The sequence below is a fragment of the Homo sapiens genome, chromosome 6 (genome assembly GCF_000001405.40).
Source record: "Homo sapiens chromosome 6, GRCh38.p14 Primary Assembly".
Taxonomy (NCBI): domain Eukaryota; kingdom Metazoa; phylum Chordata; class Mammalia; order Primates; family Hominidae; genus Homo; species Homo sapiens.
The window spans coordinates 116,395,941-116,408,861 of NC_000006.12; the positions used below are offsets into that span (position 1 = coordinate 116,395,941).

Genomic DNA, 12,921 nt, shown 5'->3' on the forward strand with positions numbered 1-12,921 from the left:
GATTTAATTTCTTTTCTTTTTAAACTAGTGGATAGTTTTTAGGCTACATAAGTTTCTAGGCTTCATACGTGTTTTCTCCCATTAGTTTCCTAGAGGGACTTTTTTTCTGGAAAGTTCCACACTTTCCTTGGCTTCAAATAAGGGGGAACAAAGTTTCTCCATGCTTATTTTATTGATGAGGTCTGCTCTACCAACAGCTAAGCCCAGGGATTTGGTTCAGCACAGCCAGCATGCTGCCTTTTAAAAGCCAGATTCAGTGCTAAGCTCCATGATACATAGAGGAAGAAGGTTCTCACCTTCTGTGAGGCATTGCATGTAAACAACCGAAACAGTCCGGTGTGATATAGGTATGTGCCAGATACAAGAGAGATCAACTCTTTGGGTGAATCAACAAAAGCCTTAATAGCTGGGAGAGCACTGGGGGCTGAGCACACTGAGTGGGGCATGGGGAAGGTAGTACACCATTTGTGGTATTGAGAATGCCACGGTTCTTTCTCCTCAGTCTTCATAGATGATTGTTCTGCAGAATCTCTATGGGTTCTGCATTGGCTAACGTGGTGTTCTGACGGAAATTAATATTTTAAATGTACAGTAATGCACAACCTTGCTGCTCTGACTCCCTTGCACGAATTCAAAGTAATAGCTAGAGAACCTTCAATAACAGTTGGCATGTTGAGATGGCATCCTTCCCAAAACAACATCTTAATGAGGTTCTATGCTTCAGGATCAGCTTTTCTGGTTTAAATATATTCAGACATATCCTACGTAACTGGAAGCAATGTGGCAGAAGTGGCAGGGGTCACATTGTGAGTTTTGCTGAGTTAGGCATGTAGGCCCCACAGTGTGAGGGACTCTTCGGAGCAGTCCTGAATATACAGTGATTCTGTGCCTGGGTGGGAGTGTGGTTGCATAGGGGAGGACAAAGAACATGATGAATTAACCTTACCCACGTTTGGGGAAGTTTGTACAGAATGTGAGATGGAAAAATTCTAGTTTCCATGTATTAATGCCTTCTTACCCATATGCTCATAGCTGGAGCCACTCCCCTATCCACCTGAGCTCCCACACATTCAAAAGCTGGTAGTTGAGGGATCTTTCACTGCATGTACGTTGGGTGTGTGTATGGGGGTTCAGTTAAAGGAGAAAGTGTCTAAAACCCCCACAATGCTGATTGCATTGATGAGAGCATTCAGACTTAGACTTTTAGGGACTTAATATATACAGGATTTTTTTTTAATCGTTAGCGGTATATTATTCTCTTTCTTTCTTTTTTTTTTTTTTTTTTTTGAGATAGAGTTTCTCTCTGTCACCCAGCCTGGAGTGCAGTGGTGGATCTTGGCTCACTGCAACCTCCGCCTCCCAGGTTCAAGCGATTCCTGCCTCAACCTCCCGAGTAGATGGGAATACAGGCACCCCCCACCACACCTGGCTAATTTTTGTATTTTTAGTAGAGATGGGGTTTCGCCATTTTGGCCAGGATGGTCTTCAACTCCTGACCTCAAGGGGCCCGCCCGCCTCCGCCTCCCAAAGTCCTGGGATTACAGGCATGAGCCACCGTGCCTGGCCGGTATATTGTTCTCTAAATGGAGCAAGGAATAAGCCCCTGGGGGGACTGAGCATTACCTCAGACCCAGCCATTTCTGTGTGCTGCCAGAGACCACACCCCTCCTCAGGCATAACCACAGAAGACTATTTCTTTTGGCTGGGTCTCTGACCTTGAAGGATCCAGCCTGCCAGCTGCCTTGAGACTTTGGGTGCTAGACATAATACTGGCAGAGTCCAAGAGTTATTTCTATTTCATATGTTTTATTTAGTATGGCTATATTAATTTTTTATTCATCAGAAGTTCTGCTGTTGAAATAAATGTAAAATGTTTTACAAAACCAAAACCACTGCCATCGAGTTTCATATATAGGTAGAAATATAAAAAACTCCAGAATAAGGTAGCACCCTCAAATGATGTCTCATTGCCTTTTTCTTGGAAACACACACAGCAAGTTGAAAATGTGGATTGATCTGCCATATCTGTTAAATTATTAGTTTTTCTTCTTCTAAATATGATGAGGCAGTTTTTCCTTGGAAAAACAGTTTGTGTTCAGCTTGGGAGGTTGATTTTCCACCATCAGTTTCTCCCTTTAATAATTGAAAACCACTGTTCGTTATTTACATAAAACTGTCTTTTTCTGGTCTGCTTTCTATAACCTTTCCCCTCTTAAGAATTTTAAGAATTCCCTGACTTTCCTCTGAGGGATTTTCTGCCTGCTTTATCCCAGATGTGGGACATTGACTAGGCTGAGGTTTTGGGGATTTTATTTTATTTTTTTTAGTGTTTCTACATTTGAAAGATGTTCTTTTAACCAGTGCACAAATCTGCCACTGAAAAAAGGGGCTTTGAAGAAAAATCAAGTAGTTAAGAAAATATGTGAACTTTGTTTACATTTCTCACTTACTGAATGACACCAAAATCCCATATGCCAAATGAAAAAGTAGACAGTAGTTTCAGATAATAAGGGGAAAATGCACCCGTGTTATTTCAGCCTTTTAATTCTGGGATTTTATTCTCTGAATGAAGGCATGTCAGTTTCTGGTCCCAGTGGCACTGTGTTTGGTCTTCACTACATGCTTGCTGATGTCAGCCCAGGAAATACACGGGCTTGGCAGATGTTTACATGGCCTTTGTCTTCTCTCTTTCCACCTTCTGCTCACATAAAGAGGATATTTAACCTTATTCATAATATTTTGTCTGCTTACAGATGTATTGATCCTAATCCCTGGTTCAGAAATGTTAGGAAAAGGAGATAAGTTACAGTGAAAGAGGCTGTAGTAAGAAATACAGGATTTTCTGGTTTTTTGTAATGTCTACTCAGATTCCCAGATGATTGTTCATTACCAGCTTTTGGTTATTGTGGTTTATGTATTAATGTCTAAAAAAATATACCATGTGATGTTTTTTGCATGATACTATGTGAGAAGAATACCAAGAATAATTTTTTCCTTACTTGAACAAATATTATACATTTTCCCTTAGTCCAAAATTCTGTTTTCCATAATGAATACAATTCTGATGTAGTATGTTTAACTCTATAAAATCAGAACTTTAGTAATTTTCTTCCTAATTAAATTTTTTTGTTGTATTTTTAAAAATCTAAATTCATAAGCTTTATTTTCACATATGGTTTCTACCTCTTATATGTTTCCACACCTGTGCCATGTTCCCTTGGCTGACAGACACTTTTTTTCCTTTTTATCTCACGTAGGATCTTTCGAAGATGGTTTGGCTGCCTTGGAGATTTGGAGATCTGATGCCACGATGAGGACTCACACACGGGGGGCTCCCAGTGTGTTTTTCATATATTTGCTTTGCTTTGTGTCAGCCTACATCACCGACGAGAACCCAGAAGTTATGATTCCCTTCACCAATGCCAACTACGACAGCCATCCCATGCTGTACTTCTCCAGGGCAGAAGTGGCGGAGCTGCAGCTCAGGGCTGCCAGCTCGCACGAGCACATTGCAGCCCGCCTCACGGAGGCTGTGCACACGATGCTGTCCAGCCCCTTGGAATACCTCCCTCCCTGGGATCCCAAGGACTACAGTGCCCGCTGGAATGAAATTTTTGGAAACAACTTGGGTGCCTTGGCAATGTTCTGTGTGCTGTATCCTGAGAACATTGAAGCCCGAGACATGGCCAAAGACTACATGGAGAGGATGGCAGCGCAGCCTAGTTGGTAGATTTTTGTCTTGTTCTTCTTACTGTGGTAACTCTGCATTAGAAAGAAACAAATCCATATGACATCTCAGTGGCCAGATCTTCATGTACCTCTTTGTGTATGTGTGTGGGGGGAGGTGTTATTTGTTATTTGTGTTGCCAGTCTTATGAATGGCCCTTAGTTTCAAAAGATGTAGTAACTTCCATGTTTAAAGTTAGAAGGAAAATATTTAGATGCAGCCTAATCTAAAGAAAAAATAATTTGCTGAATTGAGTAAAGAGTATCATCGTGATTGCTGAGAATTCTTTCTTCCATATTCAGCATGTATATATTACTATCATCTGGTGTTAGGTTTGATTGATCCCAAGTAGTTAAAACATTTTGCAGCAAGACATTTCAAGTAATTAAGACTTACTTGCATTTTATGATCGTAAGGAACTAAATGTGAATGGGATGGGACTGACTGGCAATTTATAAACACATCCCCTCCAATAACCAGCAGATTTCTGAGACCTGTAGGAAAACCAACATTATTGTGTAATTGTGTGAGGAATTCTAACTACATAATAATTTAGTTTCGAAGTTTAAGATTTGAGAACAAATTCCTGTCTTTTCGATTAGCTTAAATTTATTTGATTAATTTATAATTAATGCTTCATATGCTTCCAAACAGATATGGGATGAGTTGATTAAACAAGGGATTCTACAGATGTTTTTACTCATGCAATTTTTAAATACACATTTATGGTTCAATTGCAATAAAAGAATTTACAGATTGATGAAATTTTTTTAAAAAATTACATAAGCTGCCTCTTGTCATAGGGCTAGAGAGAGCTCATTTTAAATGCTTAGAAAAAAATCAGTGAATGCACCTAATGCTATGATGAATTACATCTTAACATATCACAGGGGTGAAGGATGGTGGTTTGCAAGCTTTCCGATAAATTTCTGGAATTTTGTAATGAAAAGTATTATGCAAGAGTTGGCATTAAATCCATATCAGAGCTGATATTTTAGGCCTGTTGCTAAGTACATGTAGTCATTTTGAAGTTTATAATATTGTAGGTTGAAAAGAATTTTTTATTTGATTTATTTCAAAGCTTAGCCATGTATGTAGTTGTTTCTGACTTTGACTGACATTAACTGATCTTATTCTATTCTTGACACCAAGAAAGAAAAGATGTATGAAAACTTATCTGATATTTGAATTACCAGATTACATTATCAAATGCTACAGTAACTCACTGATTGATTTGTTCAATTAGTTTAAAATAGCAACCATATTTACATTATTTAGAAAGAAACCTTTGTCATCTAGAAGGGTACTTTAAAGTCCTTTTTGTTTTAGATAAGTAGATTTTGGCAAATTAAGAAATTGATGTAAATGTTCCAGAGATAGAGCCTGTAGAGAACCGTGTATTTAATCTCACAAGAAAGTAATGGACTGTGAAATACCATTTTTGATGGAGATTGTTTAGCACAATACAGTAACATGAGAATTGTACAAGACTAGTACAGTTTTCTCATTATAATGTAAAATATTTGGGTATATAAATACCAATGAATGAATGCTGCCATTAGGATGAGACTCCTTCTATGAAAAGAGAAATAAATAACTTGAAAGAAATATTATAATTTTTACATAGTTTCCACAAGTCCAGATTTATTGATCACTGGAGGTGTATAGAAACTTACTAGGGGTCTAGTACTTTATTCATGGCAATATTGATAGAAATAGGTATAACTCTAGGCCATTATCTAGTAAACTAAAAGCCAATTTTTGACTTAATAGAGCTGAACAGTTGACTTCTTTCTCTTGACCTTCAAGGTAAAATCTTGAGAATTTACCTTTACATCTGGTTTCTAGTTGCAAAAGTGAACTTGGCTTAGAAAGTTGAGCTACTTGAACATTTTGTTTTGGCAGGTACTATTATTAAGTTGTGTTGTTTAATAACTTCACAGAAATTTTAACTTCTTAAAAACTACCACACCCAACCCTTAGACTTTTAAACTTTCATTTAGATTTGTGGTTGAACACAATTACAACACAATTATGTGCTGTAATAATTTAAAACAATGTTCAGTGATTTTACAGTTCAACTACCTCTGTTTCAATTGCTCCATTAAATCATATTCTCACTATGTACCAAGAAGTACACAATGAGTATTGTCATTGACTTAGGATATAATTCACCTATATTTGATTTCAGAAAAAACAAAAACAAAAAACTAGCTGTTACTTACAAAAGAGATCAATAATTGATATTATGAAAGTAAAAAAAAAAAAACTTTCTACAATAGCTTCATCAGGCTGAATGCATTTTCCATTTTCTTTGAAGAGCATTTTTACTCTTTTGAAAGCCAGTTACTAAGTTATGTTCATTCACTGATTCATTTGATCAACAAACGTTTATTGAGCATCTACTGTGTATCATGCACTGTGCTAGGGTGCTGGGGATTCAAAGTTGAAGAAATAGCCCAGTAATTTTATAATTTTTACCTATGGCAAAGGGTACAAACATTGGGTTCTTAAAGCCTAAGCTAAGGATATTTTCTCTGCTCAGAATTGAGTGTGTGGATCATTTCATAAGGAGTTTCCTTAGTTTTCATTCATGACTTAAACATTTGTATCATGCTGCACCCTAGTGTGGTAGAAAAGCACCAACTCTGGAGTCACACTGCCTTTGAATCCCAGCTCCCTCACTCTTCAGCTATGTTAATTTTCTTAATTAACTTTCCAGATTAATTTTCTTAATTTGCGTGAGCATTAGTGTCCTGATGTATAATGTGGCAGTAACAACCCTATCTACCTTATAGGGTTGCTAGGAAGATTAAGTGCAATAATCAATGTAAAGTACTTAGCACAGTTCTTGTCTCATAGTAAGCCCTCAGTAAATGAGAATAATGACAATAATGGTAATTATTGATGCTGTTCTTTTACCTACCTAGTAATTAGACCCTGTTTGGTTTATAATTTGGTATATGTAGGCTCCAAGGAAATAGTATCCATTTAGGATTTTACTAATCTTAATTGCTCTCAAAACTAGAACATCTGTTTAACTCATAAAATTTTCCCCTTGGCTTTTTCCATTAAAACGTTCATTGATGCTCCCCTGGGCCCTTTTTAAAATGTATACAAGAATCTAATGTTAACACCAATGAAGAAGGTTTAGTGGAAAGTAACAATGATGTGTCATTTGTCTGGTATTAAAAAGAAGTGCCTATGAGATATACATGCATACAAATTTATTAATGGGGTTCATTTCATTTGAATAGTAAATAAAGAGGTTAAAGTTCACCTCTATAGATTCACTTAAGAATTCTGAAGCAGAAACGTTAAAGGGAAAATATTCAATTGTACTCTGTCCATCTAATAGCCTACAAAGTAGAACGGGAATCTCATAGATTTATAATTATAATGGTGATTGAAAAATAACAGCATGCATTTTTATTGTGTGTGTCTCTGAGTATCCAGACGACTGGGCACCGCAGAATGATGAGACTAATCTATATGCTTTATCTACTTTTTCAGAGGTGCTCGCATCCTATCTCAGAAGCTCTCCCCCGTTTCTCTCCCTTTTGCTAAGGAACACACATTCTTCATTACAGTAAAAGTAACAGAGTAATTTGAGCTTGTGCTGAACTTAGTTTTAAAAGTAAAATTAAAAAGGTATTATTTTAATCCAATATATAATGGCAAAATATTCTTTATTAAAAATTACAATGGCAAAGATATCAGCAATAATAATTTTAATTTAATAAATTTTATTAAATTAATAAAATTTAATAATTTTAATTTAATAAAAAATATCAGCAATAAAGTTCTACTGTAACTTTTCCCCTAGAAGATTAAGGAAGCATAAAATATTGTGCTTCAAATTAGAAGTAGCTGAGAAAGAAAAGAGGGGGGAAAGACTGGAGACATTGACTGGACAAGGAATGTGACAGTTGCTAAAAGGCATCTAAAACGCACCATGAGTGGGCCACAGGTGGACACTGAGGGGTTTGGTTGGTTGGTTGGTTGGTTTTCGTAGCAAAGAAAGTAGGCTTAGTCAATATTGAAGTTTACAGTGACTATGGGATCAGTTACTCTGTAGAACTGACTACTCTCTTGGCCCAAGGATCAGAAGGAAGTTTCCCATAGGGCTTTTATGAAGAACCCTCGCAGCCTTCTCATCCTTGCAGTGTACGTATGATGAATTGCACAGTGTTATTTCTTTACACCAGACTGACCTGAGAGCGGGACCATGCCTGTTTTGCTCATATGTGTATCCCTCGATGGAGGATCTCCAAAGCAAAGTTTACTAAAACCTTGATCAGGGAGGGAGTGGGGGTGGTGAAAAGGATGGATATATGGGGTAGCCCAGGCTACTTTTTTCCTAATCTAGCTTAATCCTTTGGTAGAATTTTGCATGTGTAGAAAAATGAAATGACTGCCTGTCCACCAGGCAGCCTCCCTATACCTTATGAATCTTAGCCAAGCTCTTGGTAGATGGGTTGCTATGAGCTTAACATTACACTCCTCAGCAAATTCTTAGTGATTTTCCGGAGCTAAAAACAAACAAACAAAATGTACTCAAATAATTATTGGAAAACATTACAGATCCTGAATCACTTAAGAAAGGTGCAGTTAAGTTTACCATATTTCACTTAATAATATGGGAAGATGAATGCATTTAAAAGAGGTTTAGGATAGGATTGTAACTGAGATCACTTATTGTTCAAGCCCTGGTTGATAACATAGAATTATACAGCATCCATTTCCAAGCAGCAGGCTTTTCATGGCTCCTTGTCTTAATTTGTAAACCCTGAGGAACAGGTCTGGCCCAGTGGTCTTTGGATCTGTCCTTGCATCTTGGCTCTGCCATTGTGTTAGCCACATGTCCTTTGACAGGTTCCTTACACTCTGTAAACTTGGTTCTTCATCTGTAAAATATGGGTTATTCCTCCCACACAAGGTCATCCCAAGGATTGAATGAAGTAATGCATATAAAGCTCTTAGCATTATGTGCCTGGCACATAGTTTTACTAAAAAGTTTGTTATTATTACACAGGAATAGTTACGAATATATAACTTTATTCTCGCTAGGTTTCTTGGTACACAGTACTCCATTTTAGCTATGTTGTCACTCTGGAGTTGTGTTTTTGAAAAGTATTTGTTGTGACTCTTTAGTTCTCTCTTTATAGTATTTTTCCTTACTTATCATCAGACAGAAAATAAATCACAGAGGAAAGAAATTACTTCACTCTTGCATTGGAGCCAGTTAGCTACAGGAAATCAGGAGAACTGGTGAGGGAAACAAAGAAAGTTGAACTTTTGGACAGAGAAGTAATTGTGTTTTTTTTTTTTTTTTGCAACAGACTGAGTATTAAATTCTTGCCTGTGATTGCAAACTTCTGGATGGTGTCATCCGAGGGTGTATTTGCAAAAATAAAATATAATTATAAAATATAAAGAGAGAAAAAAGGTCTCTAGCATATTGAAATGAACCAGTTTCATTGCTGTACGTATGAAAATGAGGAGTGTGCCTGCCTTGCTCAGCATTGCCTGCTGGGCTTCAAATGCAGTTCTCTGCAGCTGTTTCTCGGGTTTTTCACTTCTCAAAATTGCAAGTTAAAACTGAAAATCAAAAGCCGGGAGAATGTAGCTGGGCCTCAAACATGTGGAGCCACAGCCCTGTGAGTAAAAAGATCAGGTTTTCTTCTCATGACCTTACAGTGAGGAAGGCTGGGCGGCTTAGCCCAGAATGCACCTGGAATCCATTAAAGTGGACTCGTGGAGACAAATGCTGGGCTGTCAGAAAACCCAGCCTCTAATTCCCCTGGCTTTTTCTCATTCATGTTTTTCCCTTTCTCTTACCCTTCCCCCTCACTCTTTCTGCCTCTCTTTTTCTCTGTTCTTTTCATTCTGTGACCTAAGGGAAGCTATTCCCTTTTATGCTGCTGCAGAGACTTAAAAATACTATAGAAGGGTAAAATAACTTATGAGGCTTTTTACAACGATCAAATTATTTAAAATTTACAGAAACACACAGCCATTGGGAATTCACTTCTTGAATGCCGTTTATTAAGCAGGTTGTTGCCATCAGTGTTACAAATGGATTCTTGGGCAGGAATCAAGGTCAGGTGCCCTGTGGTGGGAGGAAGCAGATGAAGAGGACCCGAGGGAGAGGCATAGGCAGGTGTACAGATTAGTTGAGCAGCCCAGTTACAGTGCCATTGGACAGTTGTGTGGTGCACAGTCACACCCTAAATAGGATGTTCTGCTCACCTAAATTGTTAGGACTCAACTAATTTAAACTCTTCCCCATCTATTTCAAATGCAGGTGAAGATAAAGTTACTCTAATAATGCTTCTTTCTAACAATAACTTTAAAAATGTTATGACAGTTATAAATCATACATGATTGAAAGGAAATCCGAAGTTAATTTTCTTTGTAAGATATGTTTATTGACTCTAAGATTCAGTATTGGTATGACCCTCAAGTCATCTCTGCGATGGGTGACTCACTTGCTCGCCTACCTCCCGCCCTTTCAGTGTCATTTGATACCTTTTTAAATGCAACATGGGCGGGCTTTCAGAGTTGTCAGAGGGAACTGTGCTCAAGGCCAGAGGAGTTCTCGTCCCTCTTTAATTGGGGTATAAATCAGTGCCCCTCACCCCATATGAACAAAGGCAACATGAATATATTAAGTTTCATGTAGTCTTTACAATCTGGGTCTTAAATTTTTCTAACATAAAAATCTGGCAAGCATGATGTTTGAATTTTGTGGATGTCTTGCCTCATTATCATAAGGGAAAATGTTAGTTGGCAAGTGCCGCATGTATGTCTGTATTCTCTTTCATTGATACTTCATAATCACTTTTTAAAAGTTGGCTTTATTTTTTGGATGAAATATTCACGCCTAACACCACTTAAGATGTAGGGTCTTGCTGACATTAAGTTCATGCTAATGATAACTTGAGAGTAATAATGACATGAGTATGTTCATGGAGTCCTTTATAAAGCTGGGTAGTTCCTTTTACCTTAGGTATCTTAAGAATGGCTTTTTTACTTCTTTGTCTCCTTCTGCCATGTCCATTAAGGGAACACATTTCAGTCATGCTTACCACAGTCTCTCTCATCCATCTTTCCTTTTCCTTTCCAGTGTCAACATGCGAGTTCTGGACAGCACAGGAGGAGATACCATAGTCGGGGGCCAGATCATTGCTTATCCCACATAAGCCTGTGGTTTAGAAAGCTTTCTGTTTAGGATGGCTTGGAAGGAATGACTCAGGAAAAAAGAAACGGTTAGAAGCTTATAATATTAGTGTAGGAGGGAAATGAAGACCACAGTTAAAACAGTGAGGGTGGGGAGAAGAAAGTATAAATTTAAGAGACATATAAGACTGAAAATCTACACAGAGATTGATCAGATATAGGACACTCTTTCTTAAAGTGTGAGTCTTTCACCATATTGGGTATCCTTAAAAAGACAGATTCCTGGGTTTCGCCCAGACTCACTGAATCATATCTTCTTGGAGTAGGCCACAGAACCTGCATTTTTAACAAGTCCTCTATATGATTCTTAGATGTACTAAAACTTAAATTGTAAGGGAGAGGGAGGCATAAATGATGGCCCTGGGTGACTGGTTGCATATTGATACTCAAATGAGATGGAGAATATGGGGAGGAGAGAGTGGTTTGTGGGAGAGAAAAGATGGTTCACTTTTTTACATGTCTTTTTGTGTCACTCTATTTCTTCTATCTACTTTATTTGTCTCACTTTGTTGATACTGCCAACTGTATGGACAGATGACTTTCAAAGTTCTCTGTCCCTATTACACTGCAAGGGCTCATAGATAACCTTAGCAGGTATCTTGGTGTATAGTTATTACTATAACTTTTAGGACCTCTTGGCCATATCTGCTCATTCTTACAAATTCACTGTCTTCCACTTCTTCTTGTTCTGTGGCTTCACTGCTGCTACTATGCTCATTATTTACCCATAGTCATTTTTCTCTTCCCTCCCCTTGCTCTGTTCTTCACTCTTGCCACTCTACGAATGCATTTTGCTATTGGTGATTCTGTCATTTTTGAATGTAAGTGAGCTCTTCAGGAAAAAGTACCTTTGATAAATAAAAAAGATCAATCTATTTTCACCCATCCAGAGCTTAGAGATTTTTTACATTTTTTTCTAGAATTTTGTGATTTTTATTGTTTTAAAGCTTTTCACTGATAGGTATTTATGTGTGGTCTTCCCAGTGGTCCAGTTGGACCATGTGGCACTGGTATTTTCAACTCTGCCTTCAGTTTGGGCAGTAATGAGTTTGCAGATCAGCCCTGAGCTGGCCTTTCTGCCTACAGACTGATTTATACCTTGTCTTCCACCTTTCTCTCCAACCCTATCCAGACTGTATGATCCACCTTAACTTCTTCCACCATTACATGTTCTCTAGCCCCTCATCCAACCCAATTCCTATAGTTACTTTTTATTTAATTCATTGGTTTGCAGTCATAACTGGGTTGCCTGGTTTTCTGACCAGGAGTGTACATCTTCTAGATTCGGCTCCAAAGAAACTTCTTTCTAGAAAATTTCCAGATTCCATCTTCTATACCCACCCTCCAGTGTGATTCATATGTTCCAAGGAACCCATGCAAAACTGTTATAGGTTGTTTTGCCTGCACTGCAATTCTTGGTTTATTTGTCTCCTCTACTGGCACATAAGCTTATTGAGGGTAGCCCCAGCATTTTTCGGGGTTCCAAGAGCCACATATGGTATACCTGCCACAAAGACACTAATTAATTATATTGAATGAATGGATGGATGAATGAATGAATAATCTGTCTTATTTTTATTGAGAGTCTAAGCTTACTGAGAGCAGAAGTCCTGGATCTGTATACAACTTTGAAACTGATTTGGTGCCCTGCGTACTGTGGCTGCTCCTACTTATCTGGTCTCACTTTCACTCTGAAGACGTGCCTGTCATCAGCCGTTTGTCTGTCAGCCTGTAATCACAGAGACACTGTACCTTTGACGTACTTGGAGGCCAGTAGGAAGAATGTCAGGATTTGACATCTTGGTGCATAGCTCAGCAGAGAATCTCAGATTACCTGGTCTTTGAAGTATTCCTCCTGCACCTGGCCTTCTCTCCTCCCTGATCCCTTGAATTTTGGTGTTCATCTTCTTACATGCATGTAATGTCCATGTGTGCTCCTTATCAGGTAACTA

General features: G+C 38.0%; 1 protein-coding gene across 13 annotated transcripts in view, besides 4 other annotated features; it reads left to right on the top strand.

The window, feature by feature from the left end:
• The window catches only part of DSE (dermatan sulfate epimerase), a 190,691-nt gene that overhangs the window by 141,770 nt on the left and 36,000 nt on the right, over positions 1–12,921 (top strand). For 10 of the 13 annotated variants that reach the window (NM_001374520.1, NM_001322937.2, NM_001374521.1 and 7 more), the window contains one exon: positions 3,258–3,726. Coding sequence is in view for 8 of the 13 variants with exons in the window: in NM_001322939.2 (NP_001309868.1) it covers positions 3,258–3,726 (469 nt within the window). In the remaining 5 variants the exon portion in view is untranslated. The remainder of the gene's footprint in view (positions 1–3,257; positions 3,727–12,921) is intronic. The other 3 variants (NR_136524.2, NM_001322940.2, NM_001322941.2) reach the window with 1 other exon arrangement.
• Positions 3,011–3,511: an enhancer, noted in NCBI's record as "H3K4me1 hESC enhancer chr6:116720114-116720614 (GRCh37/hg19 assembly coordinates)". NCBI's record gives its function as "activates a minimal SCP1, AML or CMV promoter by ChIP-STARR-seq in primed H9 embryonic stem cells {active_cell/tissue: H9 hESC(primed)}" and the evidence as "EXISTENCE:reporter gene assay evidence [ECO:0000049][PMID:30033119]".
• Positions 3,512–4,012: an enhancer, noted in NCBI's record as "H3K4me1 hESC enhancer chr6:116720615-116721115 (GRCh37/hg19 assembly coordinates)". NCBI's record gives its function as "activates a minimal SCP1, AML or CMV promoter by ChIP-STARR-seq in primed H9 embryonic stem cells {active_cell/tissue: H9 hESC(primed)}" and the evidence as "EXISTENCE:reporter gene assay evidence [ECO:0000049][PMID:30033119]".
• Positions 9,131–9,180: an enhancer, noted in NCBI's record as "active region_24991". NCBI's record gives its function as "activates an Ori minimal core promoter by ATAC-STARR-seq in GM12878 lymphoblastoid cells {active_cell/tissue: GM12878}" and the evidence as "EXISTENCE:reporter gene assay evidence [ECO:0000049][PMID:35858748]".
• Positions 10,144–10,353: a silencer, noted in NCBI's record as "silent region_17494". NCBI's record gives its function as "represses an Ori minimal core promoter by ATAC-STARR-seq in GM12878 lymphoblastoid cells {active_cell/tissue: GM12878}" and the evidence as "EXISTENCE:reporter gene assay evidence [ECO:0000049][PMID:35858748]".